We start from the raw sequence: 18,742 nt of genomic DNA, 5'->3' as shown, positions 1-18,742 counted from the left end.
GCTCTAAGAAAGTGAATGTTCAACTCTGTGACTTGAATGCAGATATCACAAAGTAGTTTCTGAGAGGGCTTCTGTCTAGATTTTAGATGATGATATTCCCGTTTCCAACGAAATCATTAGAGCTATCCAAATATCCACTTACAGTTTCTACAAAAAGAGTGTTTCCAAACTGCTGCATCAAAAGAGAGGTTCCACTCTGTTAGCTGAGTAAAGACATCACAAACTTGTTTCTGAGAATCCTTCTGTCTCGTTTTTATGGGAAGATATTTACTTTTTCACCGTAGGCATCAAAGCGCTCCAAATGTCCACATCCAGATACTCCAGAAAGAGTGTTTCAAACCTGCTCTATAAAAGGGAATCTTCAACTCTATGAGTTGAATGCAGACATCAGAAAGAAATTTCTGAGAATGCTGCTGTCTACCTTTTATTTGAATTCCCGCTTCCAACGAAATCCTCCAAGCTATCCAAATATCCACTTGCAGATTCCACAAAAAGAGTGTTTCAAAACTGCTCTCTATCAATGGCAAAGTTCAACTCTGTTAGATGAGGACACATATCACCAACAAGTTTCTGAGAATGCTTCTGTCTATTTTTATGGGAAGATATTTCCTTTTTCACCGTAGGCGTCAAGGCGATCGAAATGTCCACTTCCACAAACTACAAAAAGAGTGTTTCAAGCCTGCTCTATGAAAGGCCATGTTCATCTCTATGAGTTGAATGGAAATATCCGAAAGAAATTTCTGGGAATGCTGCTGTCTAGTGTTTATACGAATTCCCGCTTCCAACGAAATCCTCAAAGCAATCCAAATATCCACTTGCAGAATCCACAAAAAGAGTGTTTCAAAACTGCTCTATCAATAGAAAGGTTCAACTCTTTTAGTTGAGTACACACATCACAAACAAGTTTCTGAGAATGCTTCTGTCTGGCTTTTATTGGAAGACGTTTCCTTTTCACCAAAGGCATCAAAGCGCTCCAAATGTCCACTTCCAGATTCTTCCAAAAGAGTGTTTGAAACGTGCTCAAAGTAAGGGAATGTTCAACTCTGTGACTTGAATGCAGATATCACCAAGTAGTTTCTAATAGTGCTTCTGTCTACATTTTAGATGATGATATTCCCGTTTCCAACGAAATCGTTAGAGCTATCCAAATATCCAGTTACAGTTTCTACCAAAAGGGTGTTTCCAAATTGCTGCATCAAAAGAAAGGTTCAACTCTGTTAGTTGAGGACACACATCACAAAGAAGTTTGTGAAAATGCTTCTGTCTAGATTTTGTATGAAGATATTCCCTTTTCCAACGATGTCATTAAATCAACCCAAATATCAATTTGCAGAATCCACAGAAATAGAGTTTCAAAGCTGCTCTGTAAAAAGAAAGGATCCACTCTATTAGCTGAGTACACACATAAAAAACTTGTTTCTGAGAATCCTTCTGTCTCGTTTTTATGGGAAGATATTTACTTTTCCACCGTAGGCATCAAAGCGCTCCAAATGTCTACATCCAGATACTCCAGAACGAGTGTTTCAAACCTGCTCTATGAAAGGGAATCTTCAACTCTATGAGTTGAATGCAGACATCAGAAAGAAATTTCTGAGAATGCTGCTGTCTACCTTTTATTTGAATTCCCGCTTCCAACGAAATCCTCCAAGCTATCCAAATATCCACTTGCATTTTCCACAACAAGAGTGTTTTAAAACTGCTCTATCAATAGAAATGTTCAACTCCTTTGGCTGGGTACACACATCACAAACAAGTTTCTGAGAATGCTTCTGTCTAGTTTTTATGGGAAGACGTTCCCTTTTTCACCAAAGGCATCAAAGCGCTCCAAATGTCCACTTCCAGACACTACAAAAAGAGTGTTTCAAACGTGCTCTAAGAAAACGAATGTTCAACTCTGTGACTTGAATGCAGATATCACAAAGTAGTTTCTGAGAGGGCTGCTGTCTAGATTTTAGATGATGATATTCCCGTTTCCAACGAAATCATTAGAGCTATCCAAATATCCACTTACAGTTTCTACAAAAAGAGTGTTTCCAAACTGCTGCATCAAAACAGAGGTTCCACTCTGTTAGCTGAGTACACACATCACAAACTTGTTTCTCAGAATCCTTCTGTCTCGTTTTTATGGGAAGATATTTACTTTTCCACCGTAGACATCAAAGCGCTCCAAATGTCCACATCCAGATACTCCAGAAAGAGTGTTTCAAACCTGCTCTATGAAAGGGAATCTTCAACTCTATGAGTTGAATGCAGACATCAGAAAGAAATTTCTGAGAATGCTGCTGTCTACCTTTTATTTGAATTCCCGCTTCCAACGAAATCCTCCAAGCTATCCAAATATCCACTTGCAGATTCCACAAAAAGAGTGTTTCAAAACTGCTCTCTATCAATGGCAAAGTTCAACTCTGTTAGTTGAGGACACATATCACCAACAAGTTTCTGAGAATGCTTCTGTCTATTTTTTATGGGAAGATATTTCCTTTTTCACCGTAGGCGTCAAGGCGATCGAAATGTCCACTTCCACAAACTACAAAAAGAGTGTTTCAAACCTGCTCTATGAAAGGCCATGTTCATCTCTATGAGTTGAATGGAAATATCCGAAAGAAATTTCTGGGAATGCTGCTGTCTAGTTTTTATACGAATTCCCGCTTCCAACGAAATCCTCAAAGCAATCCAAATATCCACTTGCAGAATCCACAAAAAGAGTGTTTCAAAACTGCTCTATCAATAGAAAGGTTCAACTCTTTTAGTTGAGTACACACATCAAGAACAAGTTTCTGAGAATGCTTCTGTCTGACTTTTATTGGAAGACGTTTCCTTTTCACCAAAGGCATCAAAGCGCTCCAAATGTCCACTTCCAGATTCTTCCAAAAGAGTGTTTCAAACGTGCTCAAAGTAAGGGAATGTTCAACTCTGTGACTTGAATGCAGATATCACCAAGTAGTTTCTAATAGTGCTTCTGTCTAGATTTTAGATGATGATATTCCCGTTTCCAACGAAATCGTTAGAGCTATCCAAATATCCACTTACAGTTTCTACAAAAACAGTGTTTCCAAACTGCTGCATCAAAAGAAAAGTTCAACTCTGTTAGTTGAGGACACACATCACAAAGAAGTTTGTGAGAATGCTTCTGTCTAGATTTTGTATGACCATATTCCCTTTTCCAGCGATATCGTTAAAGCAATCTAAATATCCATTTGCAGAATCCACAAAAATAGAGTTTCAAAGCTGCTCTGTAAAAAGAAAGGTTCCACTCTGTTAGCTGAGTACACACATCACAAACTTGTCTCTCAGAATCCTTCTGTCTCGTTTTTATGGGAAGATATTTACTTTTTCACCGTAGGCATCAAAGCGCTCCAAATGTCCACATCCAGATACTCCAGAAAGAGTGTTTCAAACCTGCTCTATGAAAGGGAATCTTCAACTCTATGAGTTGAATGCAGACATCAGAAAGAAATTTCTGAGAATGCTGCTGTCTACCTTTTATTTGAACTCCCGCTTCCAACGAAATCCTCCAAGCTATCCAAATATCCACTTGCATTTTCCACAAAAAGAGTGCTTCAAAACTGCTCTATCAATAAATGTTCAACTCCTTTAGCTGGGTGCACACATCACAAACAAGTTTCTGAGAATGCTTTCTGTCTAGATTTTATGGGAAGACATTCCCTTTTTCACCAAAGGCATCAAAGCGCTCCAAATGTCCACTTCCAGACACTACAAAAAGAGTGTTTCCAACGTGCTCTAAGAAAGCGAATGTTCAACTCTGTGACTTGAATGCAGATATCACAAAGTAGTTTCTGAGAGGGCTTCTGTCTAGATTTTAGATGATGATATTCCCGTTTCCAACGAAATCATTAGAGCTATCCAAATATCCACTTACAGTTTCTACAAAAAGAGTGTTTCCAAACTGCTGCATCAAAAGAGAGGTTCCACTCTGTTAGCTGAGTACACACATCACAAACTTGTTTCTGAGAATCCTTCTGTGTCGTTTTTATGGGAAGATATTTACTTTTTCACCGTAGGCATCAAAGCGCTCCAAATGTCCACATCCAGATACTCCAGAAAGAGTGTTTCAAACCTGCTCTATGAAAGGGAATATTCAACTCTATGAGTTGAATGCAGACATCAGAAAGAAATTTCTGAGAATGCTGCTGTCTACCTTTTATTTGAATTCCCGCTTCCAACGAAATCCTCCAAGCTATCCAAATATCCACTTGCAGATTCCACAAAAAGAGTGTTTCAAAACTGCTCTCTATCAATGGCAAAGTTCAAATCTGTTAGTTGAGGACACATATCACCAACAAGTTTCTGAGAATGCTTCTGTCTAGTTTTTATGGGAAGACATTCCCTTTTTCACCAAAGGCATCAAAGCGCTCCAAATGTCCACTTCCACAAACTACAAAAAGAGTGTTTCAAACCTGCTCTATGAAAGGCCATGTTCATCTCTATGAGTCGAATGGAAATATCCGAAAGAAATTTCTGGGAATGCTGCTGTCTAGTGTTTATACGAATTCCCGCTTCCAACGAAATCCTCAAAGCAATCCAAATATCCACTTGCAGAATCCACAAAAAGAGTGTTTCAAAACTGCTCTGTCAATAGAAAGGTTCAACTCTTTTAGTTGAGTACACACATCACGAACAAGTTTCTGAGAATGCTTCTGTCTGGCTTTTATTGGAAGACGTTTCCTTTTCACCAAAGGCATCAAAGCGCTCCAAATGTCCACTTCCAGATTCTTCCAAAAGAGTGTTTCAAACGTGCTCAAAGTAAGGGAATGTTCAACTCTGTGACTTGAATGCAGATATCACCAAGTAGTTTCTAATAGTGCTTCTGTCTAGATTTTAGATGATGATATTCCCGTTTCCAACGAAATCGTTAGAGCTATCCAAATATCCAGTTACAGTTTCTACCAAAAGGGTGTTTCCAAATTGCTGCATCAAAAGAAAGGTTCAACTCTGTTAGTTGAGGACACACATCACAAAGAAGTTTGTGAGAATGCTTCTGTCTAGATTTTGTATGACGATATTCCCTTTTCCAACGATATCGTTAAAGCAACCTAAATATCAATTTGCAGAATCCACAAAAATAGAGTTTCAAAGCTGCTCTGTAAAAAGAAAGGTTCCACTCTGTTAGCTGAGTACACACATCACAAACTTGTTTCTGAGAATCCTTCTGTCTCGTTTTTATGGGAAGATATTTACTTTTTCACCGTAGGCATCAAAGCGCTCCAAATGTCCACATCCAGATACTCCAGAAAGAGTGTTTCAAACCTGCTCTATGAAAGGGAATCTTCAACTCTATGAGTTGAATGCAGACATCAGAAAGAAATTTCTGAGAATGCTGCTGTCTACCTTTTATTTGAACTCCCGCTTCCAACGAAATCCTCCAAGCTATCCAAATATCCACTTGCATTTTCCACAAAAAGAGTGCTTCAAAACTGCTCTATCAATAAATGTTCAACTCCTTTAGCTGGGTGCACACATCACAAACAAGTTTCTGAGAATGCTTCTGTCTAGTTTTTATGGGAAGACATTTCCTTTTTCACCAAAGGCATCAAAGAGCTCCAAATGTCCACTTCTAGATACTACAAAAAGAGTGTTTCAAAAGTGCTCTAAGAAAGCGAATGTTCAACTCTGTGACTTGAATGCAGATATCACAAAGTAGTTTCTGAGAGTGCTTCTGTCTAGATTTTGTATGAGGATATTCCCTTTTCCAACGATATCGTTAAAGCAATCTAAATATCAATTTGCAGAATCCACAAAAATAGAGTTTCAAAGCTGCTCTGTAAAAAGAAAGGTTCCACTCTGTTAGCTGAGTACACACATCACAAACTTGTTTCTCAGAATCCTGCTGTCTACCTTTTATTTGAATTCCCGCTTCCAACGAAATCCTCCTAGCTATCCAAACATCCACTTGCATTTTCCACAAAAAGAGTGTTTCAAAACTGCTCTATCAATAGAAACTTTCAACTCCTTTAGCTGGGTACACACATCACAAACAAGTTTCTGAGAACGCTTCTGTCTAGTTTTTATGGGTAGACATTCCCTTTTTCACCAAAGGAATCAAAGCGCTCCAAATGTCCACTTCCAGCCAATACAAAAAGAGTGTTTCAAACGTGCTCTACGAAAGCGAATGTTCAACTCTGTGACTTGAATGCAGATATCACACAGTAGTTTCTGAGAGTGCTTCTGTCTAGATTTTAGATGATGATATTCCCGTTTCCAACGAAATCATTAGAGCTATCCAAATATCCACTTACAGTTTCTACAAAAAGAGTGTTTCGAAACTGCTGCATCAAAAGAGATTTCCACTCTGTTAGCTGAGTACACACATCACAAACTTGTTTCTCAGAATCCTTCCGTCTCGTTTTAATGGGAAGATATTTACTTTTTCACCATAGGCATCAAAGCGCTCCAAATGTCCACATCCAGATACTACAGAAAGAGTATTTCAAACCTGCTCTATGAAAGGGAATGTTCAACTCTATGAGTTGAATGCAGACATCAGAAAGAAATTTCTGAGAATGCTGCTGTCTACCTTTTATTTGAATTCCCGCTTCCAACGAAATCCTCCAAGCTATCCAAATATCCACTTGCAGATTCCACAAAAAGAGTGTTTCAAAACTGCTCTCTATCAATGGCAAAGTTCAACTCTGTTAGTTGAGGGCACATATCACCAACAAGTTTCTGAGAATGCTTCTGTCTATTTTTTATGGGAAGATATTTCCTTTTTCACCGTAGGCGTCAAGGCGATCGAAATGTCCACTTCCACAAACTACAAAAAGAGTGTTTCAAACCTGCTCTATGAAAGGCCATGTTCATCTCTATGAGTTGAATGGAAATATCCGAAAGAAATTTCTGGGAATGCTGCTGTCTAGTTGTTATACGAATTCCCGCTTCCAAAGAAATCCTCAAAGCAATCCAAATATCCACTTGCAGAATCCACAAAAAGAGTGTTTCAAAACTGCTCTATCAATAGAAAGGTTCAACTCTTTTAGTTGAGTACACACATCAAGAACAAGTTTCTGAGAATGCTTCTGTCTGGCTTTTATTGGAAGACGTTTCCTTTTCACCAAAGGCATCAAAGCGCTCCAAATGTCCACTTCCAGATTCTTCCAAAAGAGTGTTTCAAACGTGCTCAAAGTAAGGGAATGTTCAACTCTTTGACTTGAATGCAGATATCACCAAGTAGTTTCTAATAGTGCTTCTGTCTAGATTTTAGATGATTATATTCCCGTTTCCAACGCAATCGTTAGAGCTATCCAAATATCCACTTACAGTTTCTACAAAAAGAGTGTTTCCAAACTGCTGCATCAAAAGAAAGGTTCAACTCTGTTAGTTGAGGACACACATCACAAAGAAGTTTGTGAGAATGCTTCTGTCTAGATTTTGTATGACCATATTCCCTTTTCCAGCGATATCATTAAAGCAATCTAAATATCCATTTGCAGAATCCACAAGAATAGAGTTTCAAAGCTGCTCTGTAAAAAGAAAGGTTCCACTCTGTTAGCTGAGTACACACATCACAAACTTGTTTCTGAGAATCCTTCTGTCTCGTTTTTATGGGAACATATTTAGTTTTTCACCGTAGGCATCAAAGCGGTCCAAATGTCCACATCCAGATACTCCAGAAAGAGTGTTTCAAACCTGCTCTATGAAAGGGAATCTTCAACTCTATGAGTTGAATGCACACATCAGAAAGAAATTTCTGAGAATGTTGCTGTCTACCTTTATTTGAATTCCCGCTTCCAACGAAATCCTCCAAGCTATCCAAATATCCACCTGCATTTTCCACAACAAGAGTGTTTCAAAACTGCTCTATCAATAGAAATGTTCAACTCCTTTGGCTGGGTACACACATCACAAACAAGTTTCTGAGAATGCTTCTGTCTAGTTTTTATGGGAAGACATTCCCTTTTTCACCAAAGGCATCAAAGCACTCCAAATGTCCACTTCCAGACACTACAAAAAGAGTGTTTCAAACGTGCTCTAAGAAAGCGAATGTTCAACTCTGTGACTTGAATGCAGATATCACAAAGTAGTTTCTGACAGGGCTTCTGTCTAGATTTTAGATGATGATATTCCCGTTTCCAACGAAATCATTAGAGCTATCCAAATATCCACTTACAGTTTCTACAAAAAGTGTGTTTCCAAACTACTGCATCAAAAGAGAGGTTCCACTCTGTTAGCTGAGTACACACATCACAAACTTGTTTCTCAGAATCCTTCTGTCTCGTTTTTATGGGAAGATATTTACTTTCTCACCGCAGGCATCAAAGCGCTCCAAATGTCCACATCCATATACTCCAGAAAGAGTGTTTCAAACCTGCTCTATGAAAGGGAATCTTCAACTCTATGAGTTGAATGCAGACATCAGAAAGAAATTTCTGAGAATGCTGCTGTCTACCTTTTATTTGAATTCCCGCTTCCAACGAAATCCTCCAAGCTATCCAAATATCCACTTGCAGATTCCACAAAAAGAGTGTTTCAAAACTGCTCTCTATCAATGGCAAAGTTCAACTCTGTTAGTTGAGGACACATATCACCAACAAGTTTCTGAGAATGCTTCTGTCTATTTTTTATAGGAAGATATTTCCTTTTTCACCGTAGGCGTCAAGGCGATCGAAATGTCCACCTCCACAAACTACAAAAAGAGTGTTTCAAACCTGCTCTATGAAAGGCCATGTTCATCTCTATGAGTTGAATGGAAATATCCGAAAGAAATTTCTGGGAATGCTGCTGTCTAGTTTTTATACGAATTCCCGCTTCCAACGAAATCCTCAAAGCAATCCAAATATCCACTTGCAGAATCCACAAAAAGAGTGTTTCAAAACTGCTCTATCAATAGAAAGGTTCAACTCTTTTAGTTGAGTACACACATCACAAACAAGTTTCTGAGAATGCTTCTGTCTGGCTTTTATTAGAAGACGTTTCCTTTTCACCAAAGGCATCATCAAAGCGCTCCAAATGTCCACTTCCAGATTCTTCCAAAAGAGTGTTTGAAACGTGCTCAAAGTAAGGGAATGTTCAACTCTGTGACTTGAATGCAGATATCACCAAGTAGTTTCTAATACTGCTTCTCTCTAGATTTTAGATGATGATATTCCCGTTTCCAACGAAATCGTTAGAGCTATCCAAATATCCACTTACAGTTTCTACAAAAAGGGTGTTCCAAACTGCTGCATCAAAAGAAAGGTTCAACTCTGTTAGTTGAGGACACACATCACAAAGAAGTTTGTGAGAATGCTTCTGTCTAGGATTTTGTATGACGATATTCCCTTTTCCAACGATATCGTTAAAGCAATCTAAATATCAATTTGCAGAATCCACAAAAATAGAGTTTCAAAGCTGCTCTGTAAAAAGAAAGGTTCCACTCTGTTAGCTGAGTACACACATCACAAACTTGTTTCTGAGAATCCTTCTGTCTCGTTTTTATGGGAAGATATTTACTTTTTCACCGTAGGCATCAAAGCGCTCCAAATGTCCACATCCAGATACTCCAGAAAGAGTGTTTCAAACCTGCTCTAGGAAAGGGAATCTTCAACTCTATGAGTTGAATGCAGACATCAGAAAGAAATTTCTGAGAATGCTGCTGTCTACCTTTTATTTGAATTCCCGCTTCCAACGAAATCCTCCAAGCTATCAAAATATCCACTTGCATTTTCCACAAAAAGAGTGTTTCAAAACTGCTCTATCAATACAAATGTTCAACTCTTTAGCTGGGTACACACATCACAAACAAGTTTCTGAGAATGCTTCTGTCTAGTTTTTATGGGAAGACATTCCCTTTTTCACCAAAGGCATGAAAGCGCTCCAAATGTCCACTTCCAGACACTACAAAAAGAGTGTTTCAAACGTGCTCTAAGAAAGCGAATGTTCAACTCTGTGACTTGAATGCAGATATCACAAAGTAGTTTCTGAGAGGGCTTCTGTCTAGAATTTAGATGATGATATTCCCGTTTCCAACGAAATCATTAGAGCTATCCAAATATCCACTTACAGTTTCTACAAAAAGAGTGTTTCCAAACTGCTGCATCAAAACAGAGGTTCCACTCTGTTAGCTGAGTACACACATCACAAACTTGTTTCTCAGAATCCTTCTGTCTCGTTTTTATGGGAAGATATTTACTTTTTCACCGTAGGCAATAAAGCGCTCCAAATGTCCACATCCAGATACTCCAGAAAGAGTGTTTCAAACCTGCTCTATGAAAGGGAATGTTCAACTCTATGAGTTGAATGCAGACATCAGAAAGAAATTTCTGAGAATGCTGCTGTCTACCTTTTATTTGAATTCCCGCTTCCAACGAAATCCTCCAAGCTATCCAAATATCCACTTGCAGATTCCACAAAAAGAGTGTTTCAAAACTGCTCTCTATCAATGGCAAAGTTCAACTCTGTTAGTTGAGGACACATATCACCAACAAGTTTCTGAGAATGCTTCTGTCTATTTTTTATAGGAAGATATTTCCTTTTTCACCGTAGGTGTCAAGGCGATCGAAATGTCCACCTCCACAAACTACAAAAAGAGTGTTTCAAACCTGCTCTATGAAAGGCCATGTTCATCTCTATGAGTTGAATGGAAATATCCGAAAGAAATTTCTGGGAATGCTGCTGTCTAGTGTTTATACGAATTCCCGCTTCCAACGAAATCCTCAAAGCAATCCAAATATCCACTTGCAGAATCCACAAAAAGAGTGTTTCAAAACTGCTCTATCAATAGAAAGGTTCAACTCTTTTAGTTGAGTACACACATCACGAACAAGTTTCTGAGAATGCTTCTGTCTGGCTTTTATTGGAAGAAGTTTCCTTTTCACCAAAGGCATCAAAGCGCTCCAAATGTCCACTTCCAGATTCTTCCAAAAGAGTGTTTCAAACGTGCTCAAAGTAAGGGAATGTTCAACTCTGTGACTTGAATGCAGATATCACCAAGTAGTTTCTAATAGTGCTTCTGTCTACATTTTAGATGATGATATTCCCGTTTCCAACGAAATCGTTAGAGCTATCCAAATATCCAGTTACAGTTTCTACCAAAAGGGTGTTTCCAAATTGCTGCATCAAAAGAAAGGTTCAACTCTGTTAGTTGAGGACACACATCACAAAGAAGTTTGTGAGAATGCTTCTGTCTAGTATTTTGTATGACGATATTCCCTTTTCCAACGATATCGTTAAAGCAATCTAAATATCAATTTGCAGAATCCACAAAAATAGAGTTTCAAAGCTGCTCTGTAAAAAGAAAGGTTCCACTCTGTTAGCTGAGTACACACATCACAAACTTCTTTCTGAGAATCCTTCTGTCTCGTTTTTATGGGAAGATATTTACTTTTTCACCGTAGGCATCAAAGCGCTCCAAATGTCCACATCCAGATACTCCAGAAAGAGTGTTTCAAACCTGCTCTATGAAAGGGAGTCTTCAACTCTATGAGTTGAATGCAGACATCAGAAGGGAATTTCTGAGAATGCTGCTGTCTACCTTTTATTTGAATTCCCGCTTCCAACGAAATCCTCCAAGCTATCCAAATATCCACCTGCATTTTCCACAAAAAGAGTGTTTCAAACCTGCTCTATCAATAGAAATGTTCAACTCCTTTGGCTGGGTACACACATCACAAACAAGTTTCTGAGAATGCTTCTGTCTAGTTTTTATGGGTAGACATTCCCTTTTTCACCAAAGGAATCAAAGCGCTCCAAATGTCCACTTCCAGACACTACAAAAAGAGTGTTTCAAACGTGCTCTAAGAAAGCGAATGTTCAACTGTGTGACTTGAATGCAGATATCACAAAGTAGTTTCTGAGAGTGCTTCTGTCTAGATTTTAGATGATGATATTCCCGTTTCCAACGAAATCATTAGAGGTATCCAAATATCCACTTACAGTTTCTACAAAAAGAGTGTTTCCAAACTGCTGCATCAAAAGAGAGGTTCCACTCTGTTAGCTGAGTACACACATCACAAACTTGTTTCTCAGAATCCTTCTGTCTCGTTTTTATGGGAAGATATTTACTTTTTCACCGTAGGCATCAAAGCGCTCCAAATGTACACATCCAGATACTCCAGAAAGAGTGTTTCAAACCTGCTCTATGAAAGGGAATGTTCAACTCTATGAGTTGAATGCAGACATCAGAAAGAAATTTCTGAGAATGCTGCTGTCTACCTTTTATTTGAATTCCCGCTTCCAACGAAATCCTCCAAGCTATCCAAATATCCACTTGCAGATTCCACAAAAAGAGTGTTTCAAAACTGCTCTCTATCAATGGCAAAGTTCAACTCTGTTAGTTGAGGACACATATCACCAACAAGTTTCTGAGAATGCTTCTGGTCTATTTTTTATGGGAAGATATTTCCTTTTTCACCGTAGGCGTCAAGGCGATCGAAATGTCCACTTCCACAAACTACAAAAAGAGTGTTTCAAACCTGCTCTATGAAAGGCCATGTTCATCTCTATGAGTCGAATGGAAATATCCGAAAGAAATTTCTGGGAATGCTGCTGTCTAGTTTTTATACGAATTCCCGCTTCCAACGAAATCCTCAAAGCAATCCAAATATCCACTTGCAGAATCCACAAAAAGAGTGTTTCAAAACTGCTCTATCAATAGAAAGGTTCAACTCTTTTAGTTGAGTACACACATCACAAACAAGTTTCTGAGAATGCTTCTGTCTGGCTTTTATTGGAAGACGTTTCCTTTTCACCAAAGGCATCAAAGCGCTCCAAATGTCCACTTCCAGATTCTTCCAAAAGAGTGTTTGAAACGTGCTCAAAGTAAGGGAATGTTCAACTCTGTGACTTAAATGCAGATATCACCAAGTAGTTTCTAATAGTGCTTCTGTCTACATTTTAGATGATGATATTCCCGTTTCCAACGAAATCGTTAGAGCTATCCAAATATCCAGTTACAGTTTCTACCAAAAGGGTGCTTCCAAATTGCTGCATCAAAAGAAAGGTTCAACTCTGTTAGTTGAGGACACACATCACAAAGAAGTTTGTGAGAATGCTTTCTGTCTAGATTTTGTATGACGATATTCCCTTTTCCAACGATATCATTAAAGCAATCTAAATATCCATTTGCAGAATCCACAAAAATAGAGTTTCAAAGCTGCTCTGTAAAAAGAAAGGTTCCACTCTGTTAGCTGAGTACACACATCACAAACTTGTTTCTCAGAATCCTTCTGTCTAATTTTTATGGGAAGATATTTACTTTTTCACCGTAGGCATCAAAGCGTTCCAAATGTCCACATCCAGATAGTACAGAAAGAGTGTTTCAAACCTGCTCTATGAAAGGGAATGTTCAACTCTATGAGTTGAATGCAAACATCACAAAGAAATTTCTGAGAATGCTGCTGTCTACCTTTCATTTGAATTCCCGCTTCCAACGAAATCCTCCAGGCTATCCAAATATCCACTTGCAGATTCCACAAAAAGAGTGTTTCAAAACTGCTCTATCAATGGCAAGGTTCAACTCTGTCAGTTGAGGATACACATCACAAAAAGTTTCTGAGAATTCTTCTGTCTATTTTTTATGGGAAGATATTTCCTTTTTCACCGTAGTCATCAAGGCGATCGAAATGTCCACTTCCACAAACTACAAAAAGAGTGTTTCAAACCTGCTCTATGAAAGGCCATGTTCATCTCTATGAGTTCAATGGAAATATCAGAAAGAAATTTCTGGGAATGCTGCTGTCTAGATTTTATACGAATTCCTGCTTCCAACGAAATCCTCAAAGCAATCCAAATATCCACTTGCAGAATCCACAAAAAGAGTGTTTCAAAACTGCTCTATCAATAGAAAGGTTCAACTCTTTTAGTTGAGTACACACATCACAAACAAGTTTCTGAGAATGCTTCTGTCTGGCTTTTATTGGAAGACGTTTCCTTTTCACCAAAGGCATCATCAAAGCGCTCCAAATGTCCACTTCCAGATTCTTCCAAAAGAGTGTTTGAAACGTGCTCAAAGTAAGGGAATGTTCAACTCTGTGACTTGAATGCAGATATCACCAAGTAGTTTCTAATAGTGCTTCTGTCTAGATTTTAGATGATGATATTCCCGTTTCCAACGAAATCGTTAGAGCTATCCAAATATCCACTTACAGTTTCTACCAAAAGGGTGTTTCCAAACTGCTGCATCAAAAGAAAGGTTCAACTCTGTTAGTTGAGGACACACATCACAAAGAAGTTTGTGAGAATGCTTCTGTCCAGATTTTGTATGACGATATTCCCTTTTCCAATGATATCGTTAAAGCAATCTAAATATCCATTTGCAGAATCCACAAAAATAGAGTTTCAAAGCTGCTCTGTAAAAAGAAAGGTTCCACTCTGTTAGCTGAGTACACACATCACAAACTTGTTTCTGAGAATCCTTCTGTCTCGTTTTTATGGGAAGATATTTACTTTTTCACCGTAGGCATCAAAGCGCTCCAAATGTCCACATCCAGATACTCCAGAAAGAGCGTTTCAAACCTGCTCTATGAAAGGGAATCTTCAACTCTATGAGTTGAATGCAGACATCAGAAAGAAATTTCTGAGAATGCTGCTGTCTACCTTTTATTTGAACTCCCGCTTCCAACGAAATCCTCCAAGCTATCCAAATATCCACTTGCATTTTCCACAAAAAGAGTGCTTCAAAACTGCTCTATCAATAAATGTTCAACTCCTTTAGCTGGGTGCACACATCACAAACAAGTTTCTGAGAATGCTTCTGTCTACTTTTTAAGGGAAGACGTTTCCTTTTTCACCAAAGGCATCAAAGCGCTCCAAATGTCCACTTCCAGATTCTACAAAAAGAGTGTTTCAAACCTCCTCTAAGTAAGGGAGTTTTCAACTCTGTGACTGGAATGCAGATATCACAAAGTAGATTCTGAGACTGCTTCTGTCTAGATTTTAGATGATGATATTCCCGTTTCCAACGAAATCATTAGAGCTATCCAAATATCCACTTACAGTTTCTACAAAAAGAGTGTTTCCAAACTGCTGCATCAAAACAGAGGTTCCACTCTGTTAGCTGAGTACACACATCACAAACTTGTTTCTCAGAATCCTTCTGTCTCGTTTTTATGGGAAGATATTTACTTTTTCACCGTAGGCATCAAACCGCTCCAAATGTCCACATCCAGATACTACAGAAAGAGTATTTCAAACCTGCCCTATGAAAGGGAATGTTCAACTCTATGAGTTGAATGCAGACATCAGAAAGAAATTTCTGAGAATGCTGCTGTCTACCTTTTATTTGAATTCCCGCTTCCAACGAAATCCTCCAAACTATCCAAATATCCACTTGCAGATTCAGGAAAAAGAGTGTTTCAAAACTGCTCTCTATCAATGGCAAAGTTCAACTCTGTTAGTTGAGGACACATATCACCAACAAGTTTCTGAGAATGCTCTGTCTATTTTTTATGGGAAGATATTTCCTTTTTCACCGTAGGCGTCAAGGCGATCGAAATGTCCACTTCCACAAACTACAAAAAGAGTGTTTCAAACCTGCTCTATGAAAGGCCATGTTCATCTCTATGAGTTGAATGGAAATATCCGAAAGAAATTCTGGGAATGCTGGCTGTCTAGTGTTTATACGAATTCCCGCTTACAACGAAATCCTCAAAGCAATCCAAATATCCACTTGCAGAATCCACAAAAAGAGTGTTTCAAAACTGCTCTATCAATAGAAAGGTTCAACTCTTTTAGTTGAGTACACACATCACGAACAAGTTTCTGAGAATGCTTCTGTCTGGCTTTTATTGGAAGACGTTTCCTTTTCACCAAAGGCATCAAAGCGCTCCAAATGTCCACTTCCAGATTCTTCCAAAAGAGTGTTTCAAACGTGCTCAAAGTAAGGGAATGTTCAACTCTGTGACTTGAATGCAGATATCACCAAGTAGTTTCTAATAGTGCTTCTGTCTAGATTTTAGATGATGATATTCCCGTTTCCAACGGAATCGTTAGAGCTATCCAAATATACAGTTACAGTTTCTACCAAAAGGGTGTTTCCAAATTGCTGCATCAAAAGAAAGGTTCAACTCTGTTAGTTGAGGACACACATCACAAAGAAGTTTGTGAGAATGCTTCTGTCTAGTATTTTGTATGACCATATTCCCTTTCCCAGCGATATCATTAAAGCAATCTAAATATCCATTTGCAGAATCCACAAAAATAGAGTTTCAAAGCTGCTCTGTAAAAAGAAAGGTTCCACTCTGTTAGCTGAGTACACACATCACAAACTTGTTTCTGAGAATCCTTCTGTCTCGTTTTTATGGGAAGATATTTACTTTTTCACCGTAGGCATCAAAGCGCTCCAAATGTCCACATCCAGATACTCCAGAAAGAGTGTTTCAAACCTGCTCTATGAAAGGGAATCTTCAACTCTATGAGTTGAATGCAGACATCAGAAAGAAATTTCTGAGAATGCTGCTGTCTACCTTTTATTTGAATTCCCGCTTCCAACGAAATCCTCCAAGCTATCCAAATATCCACTTGCATTTTCCACAAAAAGAGTGTTTCAAAACTGCTCTATCAATAGAAATGTTCAACTCCTTTAGCTGGGTACACACATCACAAACAAGTTTACTGAGAATGCTTTCTGTCTAGTTTTTATGGGAAGACATTCCCTTTTTCACCAAAGGCATCACAGCGCTCCAAATGTCCACTTCCAGACACTACAAAAAGAGTGTTTCCAACGTGCTCTAAGAAACCGAATGTTCAACTCTGTGACTTGAATGCAGATATCACAAAGTAGTTTCTGAGAGGGCTTCTGTCTAGATTTTAGATGATGATATTCCCGTTTCCAACGAAATCATTAGAGCTATCCAAATATCCACTTACAGTTTCTACAAAAAGAGTGTTTCCAAACTGCTGCATCAAAAGAGGGGTTCCACTCTGTTAGCTGAGTACACACATCACAAACTTGTTTCTCAGAATCCTTCTGTCTCGTTTTTATGGGAAGATTATACTTTTTCACCGTAGGCATCAAAGCGCTCCAAATGTCCACATCCAGATACTCCAGAAAGAGTGTTTCAAACCTGCTCTATGAAAAGGAATCTTCAACTCTATGAGTTGAATGCAGACATCAGAAAGAAATTTCTGAGAATGCTGCTGTCTACCTTTTATTTGAATTCCCGCTTCCAACGAAATCCTCCAAGCTATCCAAATATCCACTTGCAGATTCCACAAAAAGAGTGTTTCAAAACTGCTCTCTATCAATGGCAAAGTTCAACTCTGTTAGTTGAGGACACATATCACCAACAAGTTTCTGAGAATGCTTCTGTCTATTTTTTATGGGAAGATATTTCCTTTTTCACCGTAGGCGTCAAGGCGATCGAAATGTCCACTTCCACAAACTACAAAAAGAGTGTTTCAAACCTGCTCTATGAAAGGCGATGTTCATCTCAATGAGTTGAATGGAAATATCCGAAAGAAATTTCTGGGAATGCTGCTGTCTAGTTTTTATATGAATTCCCGCTTCCAACGAAATCCTCAAAGCAATCCAAATATCCACTTGCAGAATCCACAAAAAGAGTGTTTCAAAACTGCTCTATCAATAGAAAGGTTCAACTCTTTTAGTTGAGTACACACATCACCAACAAGTTTCTGAGAATGCTTCTGTCTGGCTTTTATTGGAAGACGTTTCCTTTTCACCAAAGGCATCAAAACGCTCCAAATGTCCACTTCCAGATTCTTCCAAAAGAGTGTTTCAAACGTGCTCGAAGTAAGGGAATGTTCTACTCTGTGACTTGAATGCAGATATCACCAAGTAGTTTCTAATAGTGCTTCTGTCTAGATTTTAGATGATGATATTCCCGTTTCCAACGAAATCGTTAGAGCTATCCAAATATCCACTTACAGTTTCTACCAAAAGGGTGTTTCCAAATTGCTGCATCAAAAGAAAGGTTCAACTCTGTTAGTTGAGGACACACATCACAAAGAAGTTTGTGAGAATGCTTCTGTCTAGATTTTGTATGACGATATTCCCTTTTCCAACGATATCGTTAAAGCAATCTAAATATCAATTTGCAGAATCCACAAAAATAGAGTTTCAAAGCTGCTCTGTAAAAAGAAAGGTTCCACTCTGTTAGCTGAGTACACATATCACAAACTTGTTTCTGAGAATCCTTCTGTCTCGTTTTTATGGGAAGATATTTACTTTTCCACCGTAGGCATCGAAGCGCTCCAAATGTCCACATCCAGATACTCCAGAACGAGTGTTTCAAACCTGCTCTATGAAAGGGAATCTTCAACTCTATGAGTTGAATGCAGACATCAGAAAGAAATTTCTGAGAATGCTGCTGTCTACCTTTTATTTGAATTCCCGCTTCCAACGAAATCCTCCAAGCTATCCAAATATCCACTTGCATTTTCCACAACAAGAGTGTTTCAAAACTGCTCTATCAATAGAAATGTTCAACTCCTTTGGCTGGGTACACACATCACAAACAAGTTTCTGAGAATGCTTCTGTCTAGTTTTTATGGGAAGACGTTCCCCTTTTTCACCAAAGGCATCAAAGCGCTCCAAATGTCCACTTCCAGACACTACAAAAAGAGTGTTTCAAACGTGCTCTAAGAAAGCGAATGTTCAACTCTGTGACTTGAATGCAGATATCACAAAGTAGTTTCTGAGAGGGCTTCTGTCTAGATTTTAGATGATGATATTCCCGTTTCCAACGAAATCGTTAGAGCTATCCAAATATCCACTTACAGTTTCTACAAAAAGAGTGTTTCCAAACTGCTGCATCAAAAGAAAGGTTCAACTCTGTTAGTTGAGGACACA

General features: G+C 38.5%; 1 annotated feature.

Moving 5' to 3' along the window:
* Positions 1–18,742: part of a centromere (Linear centromere model derived predominantly from reads generated in PMID: 17803354. This region does not represent an actual centromere sequence, as long-range ordering of repeats and unmapped WGS contigs is not provided by the model. For details of model production, see http://arxiv.org/abs/1307.0035.) that runs on past both edges of the window.

The sequence above is a fragment of the Homo sapiens genome, chromosome 13 (genome assembly GCF_000001405.40).
Source record: "Homo sapiens chromosome 13, GRCh38.p14 Primary Assembly".
Classification (NCBI taxonomy): Eukaryota; Metazoa; Chordata; class Mammalia; order Primates; family Hominidae; genus Homo; species Homo sapiens.
Note: the sequence above shows the minus strand (reverse complement) of the source record. Positions and strands in the feature narration are given on the sequence as shown.